The sequence below is a fragment of the Homo sapiens genome, chromosome 17 (genome assembly GCF_000001405.40).
Source record: "Homo sapiens chromosome 17, GRCh38.p14 Primary Assembly".
NCBI classification, from domain to species: Eukaryota; Metazoa; Chordata; class Mammalia; order Primates; family Hominidae; genus Homo; species Homo sapiens.
The window spans coordinates 42128507-42148588 of record NC_000017.11 but is presented as its reverse complement, the minus strand read 5'-3'; the positions used below and the strand labels follow the sequence as shown (position 1 = coordinate 42148588).

The 20082-nt window shown below is 49.0% G+C and overlaps 1 protein-coding gene across 3 annotated transcripts in view, besides 2 other annotated features; it reads left to right on the top strand.

Annotated features, from left to right (window-relative positions):
- RAB5C (RAB5C, member RAS oncogene family) overlaps window positions 1-20082 on the top strand; it is a 30011-nt gene that overhangs the window by 6401 nt on the left and 3528 nt on the right. Inside the window, exons 2-4 of one of the 3 annotated variants that reach the window (NM_001252039.2) lie at window positions 16767-16982; window positions 17999-18252; window positions 19789-19940. In NM_001252039.2, coding sequence (NP_001238968.1) covers window positions 16972-16982; window positions 17999-18252; window positions 19789-19940 — 417 coding nt within the window. In that variant the 5' untranslated portion in view covers window positions 16767-16971. Of the gene's footprint in view, window positions 1-10710; window positions 10828-16766; window positions 16983-17998; window positions 18253-19788; window positions 19941-20082 lie in introns of all 3 variants that reach the window. The other 2 variants (NM_201434.3, NM_004583.4) reach the window with 2 other exon arrangements.
- Window positions 14667-14716: an enhancer, noted in NCBI's record as "active region_12188". NCBI's record gives its function as "activates an Ori minimal core promoter by ATAC-STARR-seq in GM12878 lymphoblastoid cells {active_cell/tissue: GM12878}" and the evidence as "EXISTENCE:reporter gene assay evidence [ECO:0000049][PMID:35858748]".
- Window positions 15287-15336: an enhancer, noted in NCBI's record as "active region_12187". NCBI's record gives its function as "activates an Ori minimal core promoter by ATAC-STARR-seq in GM12878 lymphoblastoid cells {active_cell/tissue: GM12878}" and the evidence as "EXISTENCE:reporter gene assay evidence [ECO:0000049][PMID:35858748]".

Genomic DNA, 20082 nt, shown 5'->3' with positions numbered 1-20082 from the left:
TGGGTGAGCCCTTTAGGGGCACAGATCGGGTCCTGTTTGATCTTTGTGTGTTTAGGACCTGGCATGGCACTCAGCATAGTAGGCTCCCTACTGAAGTTGTTAAAGGAGAGGGCAGACATTCAAACCTGCCCTTAAAGCAAACACCAAACACCTGCCCACTTCTTTTTTTTTTTTTTTTTTTTTTTGAGATGGAGTCTTGACCTCTCACCCAGGCTGGAGTGCAATGGTACGATCTTGCTCACTGTAACCTCCGCCTCCTGGGTTCAAGTGATTCTCCTGCTTCAGCCTCCCTAGTACCTGGGATTACAGGTGTGTACCACCACGCCCATCTAGTTTTGTATTTTTAGTAGAGACGGATTTCACCATGTTGGCCAGGCTGATCTCAAACTCCTGACCTCATGATCTGCCTGCCTCAGCCTCCCAGTGCTGGGACTACAGGCATGAGCCACTGTGCCCAGCCTTGCCCACTTCTTTTTTTTTGTTTGTTTTTGAGACAGAGTTTTGCTCTTGTTGCCCAGGCTAGAGTGCAATGGCACAATCTCAGCTCACCACAACCTCCGCCTCCCGAGTTAAAGAGATTCTCCTGCCTCAGCTTCCCAAGTAGCAGGGATTACAGGCATGTGCCACCACGGCCGGCTAATTTTTTGTATTTTTATTAGAGATGGGGTTTCTCCATGTTGGTCAGGCTGGTCTCGAACTCCCAACCTCAGGTGATCCACCCGCCTCGGCCTCCCAAAGTGCTGGGATTACAGGTGTAAGCCACCATGCCTGGCCCTCGCCCACTTCTTTTAACACACACTTCCCTTCCTTTCTTCACACACTTTGGATGTCGTGAACCTATGATTCAAACTTAAATCCATCTGATCCCACAGCTTGAGCCATATCTTTGGTCCATCCCCCAGAAAGTTGCTCACAGACAAATGGGAGAGCAAACAGGTCAATAGGATCAATGTTACAGTACGGATGATGGGAAGCAAGTCACAAACTCAGTTTCCAGAAGTTAAGACTCTCCAAATCTCCATTTCTGGTGAAGGGTTTAATGGGACAATGAGGGCGCGGCCCTGACTAGCCACAGTCCGGCTGACTGGCTTCTGCCGTGTGTGTATCTGATGGCAGGACAGAACGACCGTGCTTCTGCAGTTGTGTGTGGTGAGGCAGCACCGACCCCAGACCAGTACTTAGCAAGGATCAGTGGAAGCAAATTTGACTCTGCCTGTGGATACTGTTCTGTATGTCTGCACAAGGCTCGTTCCTGAGTGAAGGTGGCTTAAAAAAGTGGTGGCAGCAGCTGTTCAGACCAGTGGTATGAGCAGCCCTCACATGTGTATTCCACAGATGGGGTCTTTAACATTCCCTGGTCCTGTGCCTGCAGTACTTGGATATCCTCTGCTCACCTTGAGGCTGGTCTTTCTTTCTTTCTCTCTCTCTCTCTCTCTCTCTCTCTTTCTTTCTTTCTTTCTTTCTGTTTCTTTCTTTCTTTCTGTCTTTCCTTCTTTCTTTCTTTCTTTCTTTCTTTTTCTTTCTTTCTTTCTTTTTCTGTCTTTCTTTCTGTCTTTCTGTCTTTCTTTCTGTCTTTCTTTCTTTCTTTCTTGACGAAGTCTTGCCTTGTCGCCCAGGCTGGAGTGCAGTGGTACGATCTCGGCTCACTGCAAGCTCCCGGGTTCATGCCATTCTCCTGCCTCAGCCTCTCGAGTAGCTGGGACTACAGGCTCCTGCCACCACGCTTGGCTAATTTTTTGTACTTTTAGTAGAGGCAGAGTTTCACCATGTTAACCAGGATGGTCTCCATCTCCTGACCTCGTGATCCGCCTACCTTGGCCTCCTTTTTTTTTTTTCTTTTGAAATGGAGTCTTGCTCTGTTTCCCAGGCTGGAGTGCAGTGATGCCATCTTGGCTCACTGCAACCTCCGTCTCCTGGGTTCAAGTGATTCTCCTGCCTCAGCCTCCCGAGTAGCTGGGACTACAGGCGTACGCCACCATGCCCAGCTAATTTTTATATTTTTAGTAGAGACGGGGTTTCGCCATGTTGGCCAGGATGGTCTTGATCTCTTGACTTTGTGGTCTGCCTGCCTTGGCCTCTGAAAGTGCTGGGATTACAGGTGTGAGCCACTGTGCCTGGGCAATTTTTGATTTTTTTGTAGAGACGGGGTCTCCCTATGTTGCCGAGGCTTAATAAACTTATTCTTTCAGAATACTTTTAGAAAAGTTACGCAGATAGTACAGAGTTTTCTCACAATCCCTCACACATAGTTTTCCCTGTTATTAACATCTTATGTTAGTACGTATTTTACATTAAAGTCCATCCTTTATTCAGATTTCCTTAGATTTTTACCTGATGTCCTTTTGCTGTTCCAGGATCCCATGTTACCTATATTCATTGTCTCTTTAGGCTCCTCTTGCTGTGCCAGTTTCTCAGACTTTTATTGTTTTTGATGACCTTGACAGTTTTGAGGAGTGCTGGGCAAGCATCTAAAGAGGATCTCGGCCAGGCGCGGTGACTCACGCCTGTAATCCCAGCACTTTGGGAGGCCGAGGTGGGTGGATCACTTGAAGTCAGGAGTTCGAGACCAGCCTGGCTAACATGGTGAAGCCTCATCTCTATTAAAAATACAAAAATTAGCCAGGCATGGTGGTACGCACCTGTAATCTCAGCTACTCAGGAGGCTGAGGCACAAGAATCGCTTGAACCAGGAGGCAGAGGTTGCAGTGAGCCAACATCGTGTCACTGTGCTCCAGCCTGGGCTGGAGACAGAATGAGACTCCGTCTCAAAAAAAATAATAAAAAATAAAGAGAATCTCTTCTCAACTGGGATTTGTCCAGTATTTTTCTCTTTTTAACAGAGTCTTGCTCTGTCAGCCAGGCTGGAGTGCAGTGGTGCAATCTCGGCTCAAGCCATTCTCCTCAGCCTCCCAAGTAGCTGGGACTACAGAAATGCACCACCACGCCTGGCTAATTTTTGTAGAGACAAGGTTTCACCATGATGTCCAGGCTGGTCTCAAACTCCTGAGCTCAAGCGATCTGCTCACCTCAGCTTCCCAAAGTGGTGGGATTACATGCGTGAGCTAACACGCCTGGCTGTGTCCAGTGTTTTTTTCATAAGTAGACTGTGCCAAGTTTTGGGAAGGAGGACCAGAGAGGTAAAGTGCTATTTTCATCACATCATGTCAAGGGTACATACAATCCACAAGCCTTTCCATGACTGATGTCAACCATGATCACTTGGCTGAGGTGATGTGTGTGAGGCTTCTCTGTAAAGTTGTTCTCCCCTTCCCCTTTCCATGCTGCATGCACCCTTTGGAAGAAAGTCACTGTGTAGCCCACACCTAAGGAACAGGGACTTATGTTCATGTTCCCCTTGTTGAGGGCGGAGTAGCTACATGAGTTACTAAATTATTTTTTCTTTTTCTGTTTTTTTTGAGATGGAGTCTCACTCCATCGCCCAGGCTGGAGTGCAGTGGCGCAATCTCGGCTCACTGCAAGCTCCGCCTCCCGGGTTCACGCCTTTCTCCTGCCTCAGTCTCCCGAGTAGCTGGGACTACAGGCCTATAGGCGCGCGCCACCACACCCGGCTAATTTTTTTGTATTTTTTTTAGTAGAGATGGGGTTTCTTTTTTTTTTTTTTTTTTTTTTTTTTTTTTTTTTTTTTTTTTTTTTTTTTTTTTTGAGACGGAGTCTGGCTCTGTCGCCCAGGCTGGATGCAGTGGGGCAATCTCGGCTCACTGCAAGCTCCGCCTCCCAGGTTCACGCCATTCTCCTGCCTCAGCCTCCTGCGTAGCTGGGACTACAGGCGCCCGCCACCACGCCCAGCTAATTTTTGTATTTTTAGTAGAGACAGGGTTTCACCTTGTTAGGCAGGATGGTCTCGATCTCCTGACCTCGTGATCCGCCCGCCTCAGCCTCCCAAAGTGCTGGGATTACAGGCGTGAGCCACCACGCCCACCCTGAGATGGGGTTTCACCATGTTAGCCAGGATGGTCTCAAGTTCCTGACCTCGTGATCCACCCGTTTCGGCCTCCCAAGGTGCTGGGGTTACAGGCGTGAGCCACCGCGCCCAGCTGAATTATTAAATTCTTCTATATGAGAGACTTGTCTATTTTCCCCCATTTATTTTTATTTATTTATTTATTTTTTGGAGATGAGTTTTGCTCTTGTTGCCCAGGCTGGAGTGCAGTGGTGCGATCTTGGCTCACTGCAACCTCCACCTCCGGGGTTCAAGCGATTCTCCTGCCTGAGCCTCCCGAGTAGCTGGGATTACAGGCACATGCCACCATGCCCGGCTAATTTTTGTATTATTAGTAGCTACGGGGTTTCACCATGTTGGCCAGGTTGGTCTCAAGCTCCAGGCCTCAGGTGATCCACCTGCCTCGGCCTCCCAAAGTGCTGGGATTACAGGCGTGAGCCACTGCGCCTGGCCTATTCTCCCCCATTTATTTGTTCAATTATTTATATCAGTATGGACTCCAGGATATTTATTTTACACTTTGGTTTATAATCCAGCGATAAGGCCGGGCACAGTGGCTCGCGTTTGTATTCCCAGCACTTGGGGAAGCCAAGATGGGCGGATCACCTGAGGCCAAGAGTTTGAGACCAGCCTAGCCAACATGGTGAAACCCTATCTCTACTAAAAATACAAAAGTTAGCTGGGTATGATGGTGCACGCTTGTAATCCTAGCTACTCTGGTGGCTGAGGCAGGAGAATGGTTTGAAGCAGGGAGGTGGTGGTTGCAGTGAGCAGAGATCCTGCCACTGCACCCCAGCCTGGGCAACAGAGTGAGACTTTGTCTCAAAAATAAATAAATAAATAATCCAATGTTACTTTGTTTTATTGCCCAAAATGTTTCAGCTTTGCCCATTGGTTGCTCTTTTAGCCTCCTTTGACCTGCCTAGTCATTGTGAGGATTTTTGTTTTTGGTTTTTGGTTACTTCTTTACATTTTGGCACTGCCAGATTTTTGGAGACAGACTCACTCTGTCCCCCAGGCTGGAGTGCAGCTGCACGATCTCAGCTCACTGCAGCCTCTGCCTCCCAGATTCATGCAATTCTTGTGCCTCAACCTCCTGAGTAGCTGGGATTACAGGTGCACGCTACCATGCCTGGCTAATTTTTGTATTTTTAGTAGCAACGAGGTTTCACCATGTTGGCCAGGCTGGTTTTGAACTCCTGACCTCAAGTGATCCACTTGCCTCAGCCTTCCAAAGTGCTAGGGTTACAGGCATGAGCCACCACTCCCGGCCCCAGGCTTACTTTGTGTATTTCGTGCCAGAGTTGTAGATTCAGCTGGCTCTCCAAGGCCACTGCCTTTTTAGCAAATGTTTTCTCTCAGGTATGTTGACATAGAGTGATGTGGATGCCTTGAGTTATTTCTTCTCTTGATGGTTAGTCATAGTTACTAGAGACTCTGGAGTTGGGAAAGGTAGAGGTGGACCTGGGAAATCTACCCCCTGAGAATCAACTGCAGTCCTGGGAGTTAATCCCAGTAGCTGGCTGTTGTTCTACTCACCCATTCATACTGCTCTTACCCCTGCCTGATGCTATGACTGATCCAAAAAATGGTCTGATTTGGTCTTTCCTTTGGAATTTACCTATGGAGGTGTGGGAAGATGAGGCATGTGTATATAATCGTTCTCTATTTCAGGTGCTAAGTTCTCCAGCTAAACCTTCCTGGACTCTGGGTCTTGTAAGAGATTCCACATGGTCCGGGCCAGTCAGTGTCTTTTGCTGCCCTTCCAAAATGGACTGCCCCCATGGGACGGTTTGTGGCTGTTGGCGGGCTCAGGGTAGGCTGTCACTTTGTGCCGTGATCCTGAATCATTGAATAGCTGAAATCCTTCCATTGTACTGTCATCTCTCTGAAAATGTGTAACTTGAGCCCTGCTGGAAACACTAACTTGGGATCTTAACAGGAGTTGGTTTACAAGCCTTTTGCCTTCTATTCATAGCTCCATGTATGTCCCCTTCAGGTGGCTGTCAGAGGCATCCCAGGCATGGAGGAGGGCGTGGGTGGCCTCTCTAACCCTGGCTGCTCTCCTAGACATCAGATTGCTCTCTGAGCTGCTCAGACAGCGTGGTGATGAATGACGCCAGTTTCCAAACCTCTAGCATTTGCAGCCTGGTTTTTAAAAGGAACTCTGCTTTCTTTGTCAGCTGCTCTATTCCTGTCCCCTAGCCCTCTCAACAACTGAACTGCTTCTTCCCTTTCCTGAAAGAGGCTTTGAGATGGAAGGAAGGGCATTTGGGCTTTAAGATGCTTTGTGGGCTGGGCGCGGTGGCTCATGCCTGTAATCTCAGTACTTTGGGAGGCCAAGGCGGGGGGATTGCTTGAGCGCAGGAGTTTGAGATCAGCCTGGGCAACATGATGAAACCCCATCTCTACCAAAAAAAAACCCAAGATGCTTTGTGTTAATGGGGCTTTTTTTTTTTTTTTAAGAGGTTATGGTTTGCATGGTTGGGGCCTTCACCCCATGCAGATTTATTGGATGGTAATGGTTTCTCCCCTCCATTTTTGTGGTTTTGGGAGCTAGTCTCTGGAGGATACAAGATTGGGGTTGTTGACAGGACACTGAGTATCTTCTAGGAAACTGAGGAAAGACGTCCTCTTCAGCATTCTCTCCAAATGAGAGGTGCTGAAGAATGGAGTCCCGGGAAACTGGAGGTAAGAGGAATGTGTGAATGTTGTCTGACAGATGAAGTGAGGAGTCCGGCTCCTTCACAGGGAAGTGAAGGCGCAGGGGCTCCCCTGCTACAGAACATGTACTGAATGCTTCCCGATGCCAGGCCCTTTGCTGAGAGTCTCACATGCATCATCTTCCTGGCAGTCCTGGAGACGGGTGGTACTGGTCTCTCCATTTTACGTGTGAGGAAATGGGTTCAGTGACAACACCAGGCCACCCTAGTAAGTGGTGCCTCCAGAACTTGAACTGAAGTTCAAGTTGTCTGACTCCAGCACTTGTGCTCTTAAGCTCTGTGCAGTAGGGATGGAGGAAGTCCTCCCTGGGGAAGTGAGGCAGCTCCTCAGCTGCTCTGTGGCTCTGTTAGGGGACCCGAGCCGTCTGGCAGATGAATGCAGATTTAAGCCCTCAACTTCCCCCGTTCACTTGCCAAGTGTAAGCGGGCGGTACCTCTCACATGCACAGTTCACCGTATCTGTGCTCACCTACTATGGGTCAGGCTTGCTGTTATGTGCTGTTAACACAAAGGAAACCCATTGTCCAGCCTTTGAGAATTTTGTAATGTGGTTGTTTTCATCTGCAACAGTGCCTTTAATTTCTCTTGCTTTCTCTCTCACAACCCTCAGTCCCCCAAGTTCTCCAGCCCCTTGCCACCTACACTAGTCTTATGAACATTTGGGGCCATGGAAGCAGAAGTGTGATTCGCTCATTGAATCTTGTTTAGACCTATTCATTGCTTGATTTCTTCACTGGGCACCACTCTACAGTTTGTTCAGCAAAAATTAAGAAAGATGGCAGACACAGTGGCTCATGCCTGTAATCGCAGCACTTTGGGAGGCTGAAGCAGGTGGATCACTTGAGCCCAGGAGTCTGAGATCAGCCTGGGCAACATGGTGAAACCCCATCTCTACAAAAAATAGAAAAATTAGCTGGGCATGGTGGCATGCGCCCGTAGTCCCAGCTACTTGGGAGGCTGAGGTAGGAGGATTGCTTGAGCCCAGGAAGTCAAGGTAGCGGTAAGCTATGATTGCGTCACTGCAATCCAACCTGGGCAGCAGAGCAAGACCCTGTCTCAAAAATGTATATAGAAAAAAGAGCTGGGTGTGGTGGCTCATGCCTGTAATCCCAACACTTTGGGAGGCTGAGGCAGGCGGATCACCTGAGGTTAGGAGTTCGAGACCAGCCTGGCCAACATGGCGAAACCTCATCTCTACTAAAAATACAAAAATACAAGCTGGGTATGGTGGTGCACACCTGGAATCCCAGCTACTCAGGAGGCTGAAGCACGAGAATCGCTTGAACCCAGGAGGTGGAGGTGGTAGTGAGCCCAGATTGTGCCACTGCACTCCAGCCTGGGCGACAGAGCGAGACTCCATCTCAAAAAAAAAAAAAAAAAAAAAAAAAATATATATATATATATATATATATATATATATTCTAAAATATTGTTCTTTGGTGCCCAGGCTTCTGAGAATAGCCATCGTCCCTCAGGTCTCCCACTGAGAACTTTGACTTTTTTCTTGTTGGTTGCATAGCCGCTGACCACGGTGTGTGTGGTGTCTGAACAGGAGGCATTTGGATTGCTATTTCTCTTTTCTCCCACTTTCCTCTCAAACTTGACCTCTGCTCTCTGTTTAGGAGCTGAAGGCAAAACAAAGGGGCAGTGATTTAAACTGGCTTTCTTTTGTTTTCTGTTATTTGTAAGGGCGGGAAGGGTTTTGGAGAGGTGTCCGCTGGTGTGAGTGGCTGGATGAACAGGTGCTGCTTCTGATCCTGACTTTCAGCAGAGGTTTCTGGAGTCTTTCTGGGCCTAGGGAAGCAGCAGAAGTGGCAGCTGTCCTGGCTGGTGCTTCTGACCCCTGCAGAGCCCCTTTTGAGACGGGGGGAAGACGGGCCCTACATTGATGAGATTCCGGTGAGAAATGTCCTAGCTAAATAGTAACTGCCTGAACAAATGAAATACAGGATAGTTGGGGTAGGCTGGGGCCAGAAGAACCTTTGCCTTGGATGGCACTCTTCCTAGCATCCTGCCTGGCATTGGCAGGTGAAGAACTGACTGGTGGCGTGTGAGCCACCATACAGCCATGTTGTCATCCCTAACAAGCCCTGTGGCTGGGACGTGTGTGTGGTTCTGGGCTGCAGAAAGATTCCAAGTTGAGCTTTTGCTTGAGGCTTGAGAGAGCAGCCCTAGACAGGAGTAGAGAATCTGGCACAGCCTGGATCACAAGGTCAGGAAATCGAGACCATCCTGACTAACATGGTGAAACCCCATCTCTACTAAAAAATACAAAAAATTAGCTGGATGTGGTGGCACGCGTATGTAGTCCTAGCTACTCAGGAGGCTGAGGCAGAATTGCTTGAACCTGGGAGCTGGAGGTTGCAGTGAGCCGAGATCACGCCACTGCACTCCAACCTGGGTGACAGAGCAAGATTCCGTCTCAAAAAAAAAGAATCTGCCACAACCTTGCTGACTGAGGTGTGCTGTTAGACACTGGGCCCTCTTAGGGAGAACAGTCTCAGGAATGTCAGCGTTAGGGCCTGGCCCCCCTGGTGCCTTTTGGAATCGGTAGGCTGGCGGAGAGCCTTGCCTGGTGCAGCTGCAGGCAGTGCCCTGTCTGTGGGCCTTCCGTGCTACCTGTCTCCTCTGTTGGCCAGCAGGGCCAATGACTGAGAGTTGTTGAGCTGCCCATGAAGCCTGGGGCCCTTCTGTGGACAGCACTGGCCGACCACACTGGCCAAGCTGTGCTAGCAGATCCATGGAGATGTCCTCCCACCCCAATAGTCTTCCTCCCTGTGGGTGCAGAAAGAGGGAGTGGATGCTGGAGGTTTCCATCCAGCCCTGACTGCTCCTCTCTGAGCCTCTCCAGAGAACCCATCTGTCATTGAGAGCTGGGAAGAAGCTCAGGGATCAGGGAAGGATTTCATGGTGTTCTGCTGGGGTAGAGTCCTGGAAAGCTAAGGGTCTGTCCCTCAGGGGTGTCTTCCACCCGAGTGAGCTTGGCATCTGTCCTAAGTGATACAAGACTTCCCACACAAGGGAAAGGGCTGCAGGAGCCAGCTGTGCTCTGTCCTGGCTGACTTCAGCAAAGTTCCAGGCTCAGTCTGCATAGTGTTTATTAAAGATCACTTGGTAATGTGTATCCAGGCTTTAAGCCTCTTGATGCCTCTGCACACTGGCCCCTTTTGCAGGTATTGGTGGAGTTGGTGTCTGCACTTGGGGCTCTGGTGGACCCCATCAGGGCCTGATTGTGGTGTGGAAGTCTAGGCACTAAGCCTCAGAAATCTTATTGAAAAAAGAATGAAATGAAACCAATCTCAGTTAAGGAAGGTGGGGGTGCTTTCCCTGTGGAAGGGGACCCAGCTCACCTTCAGTGCCCCTCTGGGATAATTTACTTCCCTTTCCGCTGGAAAAAGGGTCATCTTCCTGTGGCTGTGGAAAGGCAGCACCTTCCTCCCTACTGCTGCCTCCCCCAAGTCTAGGTTTAAGAGCTGGACCTCCTGAAGGTGGGAGGTGGAGCCCACCCTGTTGCAACACCCCCCATTGGGATTCGGCTAGATCTCACCCTGGGCTCTTAAGCTTCTGGCTTCCAGGGCCAGGGCCAAGCTTCCCCTGTTAGACTCTTAGGTAAGACACAGGCCCTGTGTGAAGCAGTTCCATAGGCCTGGTCACACAGAGGACACCCTTCTCTTTGATTCCATCCCCCAACCCCTAAACCCCCCTTTCCTCTGCAGATATACTCTAGACTGGTTGGGGAGTGGAGAATATCATACTGTTATAACCTCTTTCTCCCCATCGAAAAGACATAAATATCAGTTTCTCTTTATTATTGTGAAGCTTTAAACCACTTGAAAATCCTTTAGCCCACAGTTAAGCCCAAACAGTAAATATATCCTTAATATATATGTGGGAATCTTATTTTTTATGAGGAATCCCATTGTCTTGCACCTTATTTGTGTTTAACATTTGGGTATCTTTGTTCTCCGTTGGTCTTTTCCAATTCAGGTATCATCTTTTTGATTGTCTTTTTTTTTTTTGAGACAGAGTCTCGCTCTCTCGCCAGGCCGGAGTGCAGTGGCACTATCTCAGCTCAGTGCAACCTCTGCCTCCCGGGTTCAAGCGATTCTCCTGCCTCAGCCTCCCGAGTAGCTGGGACTACAGGTATGCGCCACCACGCCCAGCTAATTTTTGTATTTTTAGTAGAGACGGGGTTTCACCATGTTGGCCGGGATGGTGTCGATCTCTTGACCTCATGATCCACCCGCCTCAGCCTCCCAAAGCGCTGGGATTATAGGCGTGAGCCACCGTGCCCGGCCCTTGATTGTCTTTAATATTATTTTCTTCATACTAAAGAGGCAGAAAATATTTTATATACAGAGGAGCTAGATTGCATTCATATCGTTTCCAAGCTTTAACTTTTCATGATTATATGCAAAATTCTATACCAGCAGCATTTTTTAACCTTTTTATTGACATGTGACTTATGTATAATAGTTTACAAATTGTAAATACAGCTCGATGGGTTTTTATATTATTATACACTCATGTATTTACCTCTCAAATCAAGTTATAACTCCTCCATCCAGCAGTGTGCTTTTTTTTTTTTTTCTTTTTTTTGAGACAGTGTCTCGCTCTGTTGTCCAGGCTGGAGTGCAATGGTGCGATCTTCGCTCACCACAACCTCTGTCTCCTGGGTTCAAGTGATTCTCCTGCCTCAGCCTCCCAAGTAGCTGGGATTACAGGTGCCAGCCACCACACCCAGCTAATTTTTGTATTTTTAGTACAGTCGGGGTTTCACCAGGTTGGACAGGCTGGTCTCCAACTCCTGACCTCAGGTGATCCACCCACCTCAGCCTCCCAAAGTGCTGGGATTACAGGCATGAGCCACCTCACCCGGCGGCAATGTGCTTTTTTCAGTTTGATAGAAACTCATTTTTTCCTAGCTAAAAGCTACATTTTTTAAAAACATGCATAGAAGGTCGCAGTCCCTGTTATTTTTAGTAACAGGGGTTATGGTAATGAGATTGTTAATATTCTGGGGTTTTTCTTTCTATCTCTAATAGGAGAGCCTTGCTTGAGTTATGAGTCTTGGGCAGGCTTGGGCTCTGCCACCAGCTAGCTGGCTGTGTGACCCTAGGCAGGTCACTTCTCCTCACCTTCATTTTTTTTCTTTAATTGTCAACAGTAGGATGGGGTCTTTAAGGCCCTTTTGGGCTCTGACTACCAATTCTAGCCTCTGGGGTAATAAACCTGCCACTTGTTGAAAGCTCACCTTCAGCCTGATACTGTGGTGCATTGTTTCACTTGATCTGAACTACCCCATGCAATTAGTATTAAAGAATACCAATTTTTAGATAAGGAACTGAAGCTGATAATGATCACTTGTGTGACTTGGCCAAGGTCACACGGCTAATAAACGGTGGAGTGGAGCTTGAACCAAACCCGGCTCAGCCTCCCAAGTCCTAACCTGCTAGCCACGCTGGGGAAGGTTGTGGGTACCTCGTGTGGATCGTGGCTGGCGTTGCTTCAGATTCTTCTTTCCTCTGGGTCTGCAACCAGCTAGAAGCCTGGATAGTCCTGCTGTGAGTCTGTCCTCTGTTTCTGTGTGCTGGCAGTGGTTTTCCCTTTTGAGGAAGAGCTGTGTTCTTGAGCCTATGGGTAAATCATCTCCCCAACTAATCGGAGCCTGGGAAGCATTTGCAAAACCTTGACTCCAGTTGGCTTTTAAATCAAATGTCTTCCACTTTAGCCTTTGAACCGAGTTACTTCCTCCTGTGTCTCTTGCTCCATTTTCTTTAACAACTCCTTTCTGCTGTTGTTTTTTTGGTTTGATTTTGTTTTGTTTTGCTGGACTCTTGTTTAAATATTCAGGAATGCCCTTTTCCGGGGTAAAATGTAGCTGAAGAGTCACTGGTCAGAAGCACCTGCAGGGGACCCTGGGCGGGGTCACTTGGTTCTCAGGCCACCTGGCTAACCTTGAGTGAGCTAGTCTCTACGCCCCGCCTGCCCTGGTCAACAGTCTGATTGGTTTCCCTAATCAGCTTGCTCTCCAGGCTGTGCCAGGACTCTCAGCTAGAGGAAGTCTCTAAAGCAAACAGGAAGTACACGAGACACTCATCAGCTGGAATTGCTCACCCTTTTACCAGGAAGGACAAAACATATGAAGTGGGTGACTTCGTGGATTAGAGGAAAGGTGAAACTTTCAAAGGGAGGTTAGGGGGAGGAATTGCAGCAGCATCTAGTGTCTTGGAGAAGGCTCCAGTTGCTGAGTGAAGCTGAAGACCCCTCCCACATTCATGGACTTACACATGCACACTTACGAGTTGTGCACAGCACTGATCGGGGGTGCCTTTCTGTCTCTTGGATTTCTCCCTCCTTCGTATATCAACTGTAGCTCTTGTGCTTCGATCAACTGCTTAAAATCACTGGGAACTTATTTTTAAAATACTGATTTCTGGACTCCACCTCTAGAGATTCTAATTCAGTTGGTCAGGGTATTTTCTAAAGGCCCTGGGTGATTCTGGTGAAGAAGAGTTTGACTGGAGGCTGAAATAGAAGGATCACTTGAGCCTGGGAGGTCAAGGCTGCAGTGAATCGTGATTGCATCACTGCTCTAGCCTGGGCAACAGTGAGACTCTATCTCCAAAAAAAAAAAAAAAAAATTACAGGTGGCTCACACCTGTAATCCCAGCACTTTTGGAGGTTGAGGCAGGAGTTTGATACCAGCCTGGCCAGCGTGGTAAAACCCCGCCGCTACAAAAAATACACAAAAATTTAGCCGGGTGTAATGACGTATACCTATAGTTCCAGCTACTCCTAGAAGCTGAGGCATTAGAATCGCTTGAGCCTGGGTGGCAGAGGTTGCAGTAAGCAGAGATCGTGCCACTGCACTCCAGCCTGGGTGAGAGAGCGAGATTCTGTCTCAAAAAAAAAAAAAAAAAACTTAAGAAAAAAAAAGAATTTGAGACCCACTGACCTGTAGTGTCCAGAGCAGAGGGAACCCCGGAGCAGGGAAGAACAGTGTCCCATTTTTCTTTCTCTTTCTCTTCCATCCTTGGCCCAGAAGTGCCTGTGCACAGGGCCAGGGTGTTTAGGAGCTTAGATCCCTTCTGCGCTTTCATGTGCATTGTATTAATAGGAAAATAGTGTGACTCCAAGTCCTTATACATTCTCTCCCCTTTCCTGTGGAAGACATGAGGTTGGGACTGGTGCTTGTTCTTAGTGGCCTCTGAACAAGCCAGGGTTCTGATTTGGATGGTGGGTCCATGGCAAGGAGAATCTTTCTCCCTAGATCTGAAGCTCCAGCACGGCCATTGTACTTGTGAAAAAAAGTCAACTTTTTTTTGAGACAGAGTCTTACTCTTTTGCCCCAAGCTGGAGTGCAATGGCGCGATCTCAGCTCACTGCAATCTCTGCTTCCTGGGTTCAGGCAATTCTTGTGCCTCAGCCTCCCAAGTAGCTGGGATTACAGGCGTGTACCACCACGTTGGCTAATTTAAAAAAATCAACTTTGACTGTAACTTTAGCTCTTATGGAGAATTTGATTTTTGTCTCAAAGAAGACTTTGAAAACTATGTCAGTTTTGGCTATAATTCCATCACCTGACTGCACAAGTGGATAATTTTTGCCAGGGGTTCAAAAAGAAAGATTGCCAGTAAGACACACATCCCTGGGAGGCAGGACAGCTCAGTGAATGCATTCACCTTTACTACCTGCCATGTCTTCAGTTTCCCAGGCTTGGGAGGAGAGGGTATAATGCTTCCTGGGGCTCTCGGTCTGGCCTTCCCCTGGCTTAGACACCCTCATATCTCCGTGCGCCCTTCCTAGCAAAATTGGCTTCCTTGGGCTTTATTGACTGCAAAGGTTGGACACCACTGCTCATTTGATCACCAAGCAGGGCCAGGCAAACCACTAGGCAACAGACCGTAAAAAGTGCTGGGTGTGCCTGCTCAGGTATCTCTGGAAGGCAGGATCAGTGACCAGGCAGAACATGTCACCAGCTAGTTCATGCCAGGGAGAGCCTGTCTCAGTTCATTGGGATGGCCAGAGTCTGTTCACCAACAGTCTTGGAGAAAGTGTTACAAATAACCCTGTCAGTACTCTTAGCTACTGTTTACTCAACATGATGTGTGTGAGACAGCTGGCAAACACTGCCATTAACCCTGGTGTGCCCCATATTAGTGATGAGAACACTGAGGCTCAGCTCAGGTGGCTTCTACAAAGTGATTCAGAAGTGGCAGGAGACAGTCACATCTGTGGTGCCGAAAGCCAGTGCCTGTGCTCACTCTCTCTCTGCCAGATGCTCTAGCCCTGGCTGTGCTTCAGTGGGTGTGCTTCACCTGCAGATGCTGGGCTCTGTGCCAAACCTTCATGAGAATCTCGAGGGGCTGGCTGCACAGATGACTTCAATGTACAGACACCGTTGAGAACCACTGCAGGAGAGTTATTTGTCTCCCCTTCTGGCTTGTTTTTAAAAATCACATTCTGTTCCTCTAACCCTGTGGTTTGGTAGTGACAAGACTTAGATCTGTTACCTGTATTTTTCTCGACCTGTAGGTGCTGGTTACTTCCCAGCTCGGTACCCTAAGCACCAGCTGCTTTGGTTTTTTTGGAATCAGAGACTTGGTTTTCTATTACCATCTCCCAGTCCATTCATACCTCCTCCTCCAGTGCCCCAGCCACAGACCATTGCTCAGCCAAGACTCTGTGTCACGTGGATTCATGGTAATAACCAACTTGTAATTCCACTGTGGTTTTCCCTCTGTTGCTGTCGCCCTGCCTGGCTCTGGGCGGCTCCTCCCACTGTTGAGGGCACTCAGAAACTGCAAGATTACTGTGACTGTTGCTAGAGCCAGCTAGAGCTAGACCTTCCTGGACCAGCAAAGTTGCTGCCACAAAAAAAGAGAGTTTCATTCACCTAGCAGCCCTAAACCAAACATAGGGCAGGCACTGCCTCCATTGTTCTTCCACAGCAGGGAGGATGGCATCATGTCTATGGTGGGTCTGGGGGGTTCTGTCACCTGTAGGCTGGGTGACCATGAGCAGGACATTTAATATATGAATGTTAAATTATCTATCTGAAAAATGGAGGTTGTCGTAAAGCTTGAAGGAGATAATAGTTGTGCAATTGGGAAGCTGAGGCGGGAGGGTTGCTTGAGGCCAGGAGTTGGAGACCAGCCTGGGCAACACAGTGAGACTCCATCTCTGCAAAAAAAAAAGAAAGAAAGAAAGAAAGAAAATTTTAATTAGCTGGGTGTGGTGGTGTATACCTGCTGGAGGCTGAGGCAGTAGGATCTTGGAAGCTGCAGTGAGCTGTGATCACACCGCTGCACTCTAGCCTGGGCAACACAGTGAGACCTTGTTTCTTTAAAAAAAAAAATTATTTCCTTCCATCAGCACTCTTTGAGTTCCTAGTATGCACATAGGCACTGTGAGGAAGGCATCTCTAAGAAGCAGAAAGCACAGACCTTGTCTCTTCATTGACTGAGGTGAAATGAGAAAGCGTCTTAAACTATGAAAAATTGAAATGACATAACTTTGAAATATTTACATGGTATTTCTGGTTGCTAATTGAGACCCACCACCCCGTACTTCCTTCCTTGTACTTTTGGGGAAGAGGTGGGCCCCATTTCAAACCTCTTTTCCTTTGGTTCTCTCCAGAAAGGAAACTGTTGTTTCTGGCTAGTGAATCATTCTTCCTGAAGCTCACTTTTTAAATGAGTTGCTGGGAGAACTTGGATGTGGAAAACGATTTGAGGTTGAACAAAACAAGCCCTTTGCTGTCAGCTTCTTGCATGAATGTGGACCATTTGCTTCCCACAGATACCTCCTGTTCATCCACATTGCTGTCCCTTAACCATGAGGGAATGTACTTCCCTTGCTCAGGGGCAGATCGGGGCTCTCCCTGGGATCTTAGACTCCATTATGCAAAGGGCAGCCTAATAAAAACCTTTTCTTTCCAACCCAGGTTCAAATGCTGAACAGTGTTCAGTACTTAATACCTACTCACAGGACCTGTTTGTAAAACATTCTGTATATATTCTGATGTCTGTTGACATCAGATGTATATGTCTGATGAGACATCCACTTATGTCTTCTAGAGGCTTCTAGAGATAGGCTCCTCATGTGTCTGCAATTCCAAAACTTAACAAAAACAAAAAGTTGAGCCTCTGAAGCTGTCACTAACCAAGTGATTCAGATGTCGGGACTGGAACACCAGCTGTTGGGGATGCAGGACTTGGTCTCTGCCCTCCCACACCTCCTGCCTCTTCTTTCTCTCCATCGCCCCATCTCTGCCAGTAGAGAATGGAACTGAGGTCTCTATTGAAAAAGGGAAAGTTGGTAGCTGTGCTGACTGTGGCAGAGCTATGACTTTGGTGTGTGTTTCTGTGTGTGTTTGTTTCGGTGTGTGTTTTGTTTTGGTGTCTGTTTTGGTGTGTATTTCTGTGTGTGTGTTGGCATGTGTTTTTGTGTGTGTGTGTGTGTGTTTCAGTGTGTATTTGTTCCGGTGTGTGTGTTTCTGTGTGTGTTTGTGTGTGTGTATCGGTGTGTGTTTTACTATGTGTTTGTTTCTGTGTGTGTTTTGTTTTTTAATGGGTGCGAGACTTTGGCCCATCAAAAATGAGAGAACTAGGGAAGAAGGATCAGGATGAGAGAGTGAAACATTGCTTTGATTCTGGTGCACAGAGGCACACAGTCCAGCCCTAGACTGAAAGTCGGTCAGTCCTTCTGAAGGTGGCAGGAGAAAAATGGCTATGTTAATAACAACTTGTGCTGGCCAGGCCCTGGTCCCTGAATGGCCATGAGGTTGGCCAAGCACCTTCTCTGAGGAGCTTTCTACCAGGACCTCTTGGGCCCCTGTCTGCCTCACCACTGTGGTCCTGGCTACCAGACTGGAACTTCATTATTGATCTAAATCCTAGTGTCTTCCTGAGCTTTTGTTTTGTTTTGTTTTGTTTTAATTTTGCCCCAAAAGCCTGTTGACTTAACTGTCACCAGGCTGTCACACATTCATTCATCGCCTGTGTGTGTTTATTTGTAGGTGAATGTACATATTTGGGATCCAGAAGTCAATGTGTTTGCTCAGAACCATGAGCCTGAAGTTGGGAGACCATTCTCCTCTTTACAGCTCAGATGGTGGTAGAGCCGGTAGACATCTAGTATAGCCCAGTGGGGCCTCCTGACCTCTAGTGGGGAGGGCAGGGAGGTGAGGTGAGGGGAAGCAGTCAGCTAGGTCTTCAGTGAGGCCAGAGGGAAAGATCTGTAATTTAAGAAGGACACAGCGGGTGACGGCCTCTGAACTAACTCAGTACTTCTCATTTCTCCCTTACAGTTGGAGGTCCCCCTCCCCACTAAGTGCCTCTTTGCATAGCACCAGTCCCCACCCGCACGCTCTCTGGACCACTACAGCTGGACGGGCAATGGCGGGTCGGGGAGGCGCAGCACGACCCAATGGACCAGCTGCTGGGAACAAGATCTGTCAATTTAAGCTGGTTCTGCTGGGGGAGTCTGCGGTAGGCAAATCCAGCCTCGTCCTCCGCTTTGTCAAGGGACAGTTTCACGAGTACCAGGAGAGCACAATTGGAGGTGAGTGGGCATGAGGGAGTCGGGGAGGGGCCTGAAGGTTGCCAAAGAAATGCTTTGACCTTGAGGAGATGGGAAGCTGCCTGCCTGCATTAGGGACTAAATGCGTCTGTGGTGGCAGCCCCACTTCCTCACCTGGGCCCTGGAATTGAGCCCAGCAACTGGTCTCCATGCCAGAGTCCCCTCAAGCATCGCTAGTAAGCATTTGCTGGGAGTGGAAAGCTAGCTTCCCATCCTGTTTCTGCCCCTTCTTGATCTGTGTGGCCTTGGCTGAGGCCCTTTCACTGCCCTGGCCTCATGGAGGGAGAGCTGACTCTGGATCTTTGAGGCCCCTTCTTACTATAATGGGTGGTCCATGTGCCCTGGCCTTTCCCACTTCCAGAAGAAGGAACAGCCTGGTGAGTCGGAGCTGGGTGATAGGTGGGTGTTTCTGAAGCTGACTTTACCCTTTCTGGAGCTCACAGCCTGTTGTTGATTTTCCAGTGGTCAGCATTTAGGATGTGAGTGAGGGTCTGGCCTCGGCCTCTTGCCTCCGTGGCTAACACACACATCAAGAGGCAGGGGCCAACGCTGGCCTTGGCCTTGAGTCATCCTTTCTCTACTCTCTTGGTAGGAGGTTTCTAGGCAGCTGGAAACAAAATGGGCCATGTCAGCAGTCTCCCTGCTGCCTCCTCAGCATTTGGGTCAGGAGCTGGAGAGGGGAAGTGAGGCAGTGCCCCATGTCCCTCAGTGAGCTGGGGGAGGGCAGACCAGGAAAGCAGCCTTCTACACATGGCTGTCCTGGGTTCTCTGCTGGGTCCAGGGGCAAAGGGGCCTTTTGCTGTCTGTCCCAGCTCTGGACTCCTCCTTTGAAGCATGTGTACAGGCACCCTGCATTCCCCTAAGGAGTCACCTCTTAGTGACTGAAGGTCAGGTCACAGGGTGGCCATACAGGAACAGGTCTGGGTCAGAGCTAGGGGCGGTGGCTAGCTGGAGTGCCTGGAGGTGGTAGGGGTGGTTGGGAAGCCGGCCACCCAGCCTCAGCCTGGTGGTGGAACAGTGTGTACTTCCCCAGCATAGCTAAGTGTGTGAGAATGTCCTTAGGAAACCCAAGGTCAGTGACACCCCTGGGCTGGAGCAAACTGAGGGGTGGAGCGGTCCCTAGCTGCTGGTCTGTTCTCTGAGTGGCGGAGGAGGAGGTCTGAGGGCGCTCACCCTTCTGTGCTTGGAGTAGGCTTCCCCTAGGCTTTCCCTCTCTTGCCCCTGCTGTGTTGCTCTTCAGAGAGTGGTCCTGAGATGGCTCAGTGCATGCAGGAGTCCCTTCTCCTGCCGTTGCCTGGGCTGGGTCTGCAAAGCCTGTGCAGACCCCGTCCCCCAGACACATACATAAAAATCCAAACTCCACCCCCCACTCAGGCCTGCTTTGGCTCCTGGCTTGAGGGTTCTCTGTGCCCATCTCAGTGGTGGGCTTCTGAGTGCCAGAGCCTAGAAGCAACAGTGGGATTGTGTGGGGTGGATTCCAACTCGCTCTTGCCCATGGACGCTCCTTCTCTCTTACAGCGGCCTTCCTCACACAGACTGTCTGCCTGGATGACACAACAGTCAAGTTTGAGATCTGGGACACAGCTGGACAGGAGCGGTATCACAGCCTGGCCCCCATGTACTATCGGGGGGCCCAGGCTGCCATCGTGGTCTATGACATCACCAACACAGTAAAGATTTCCCCTTGCTTCTTCCTTTGCCCTTCATCTTCTCAAAGTCCCAGGGATTGGGTTATCAGAGCCCTGATTTCAGGCCGCTTAACCCTCTGTTCCTGGGTGGGGGGTGGGCAGATTTCCTGTTTGGGGACATTGC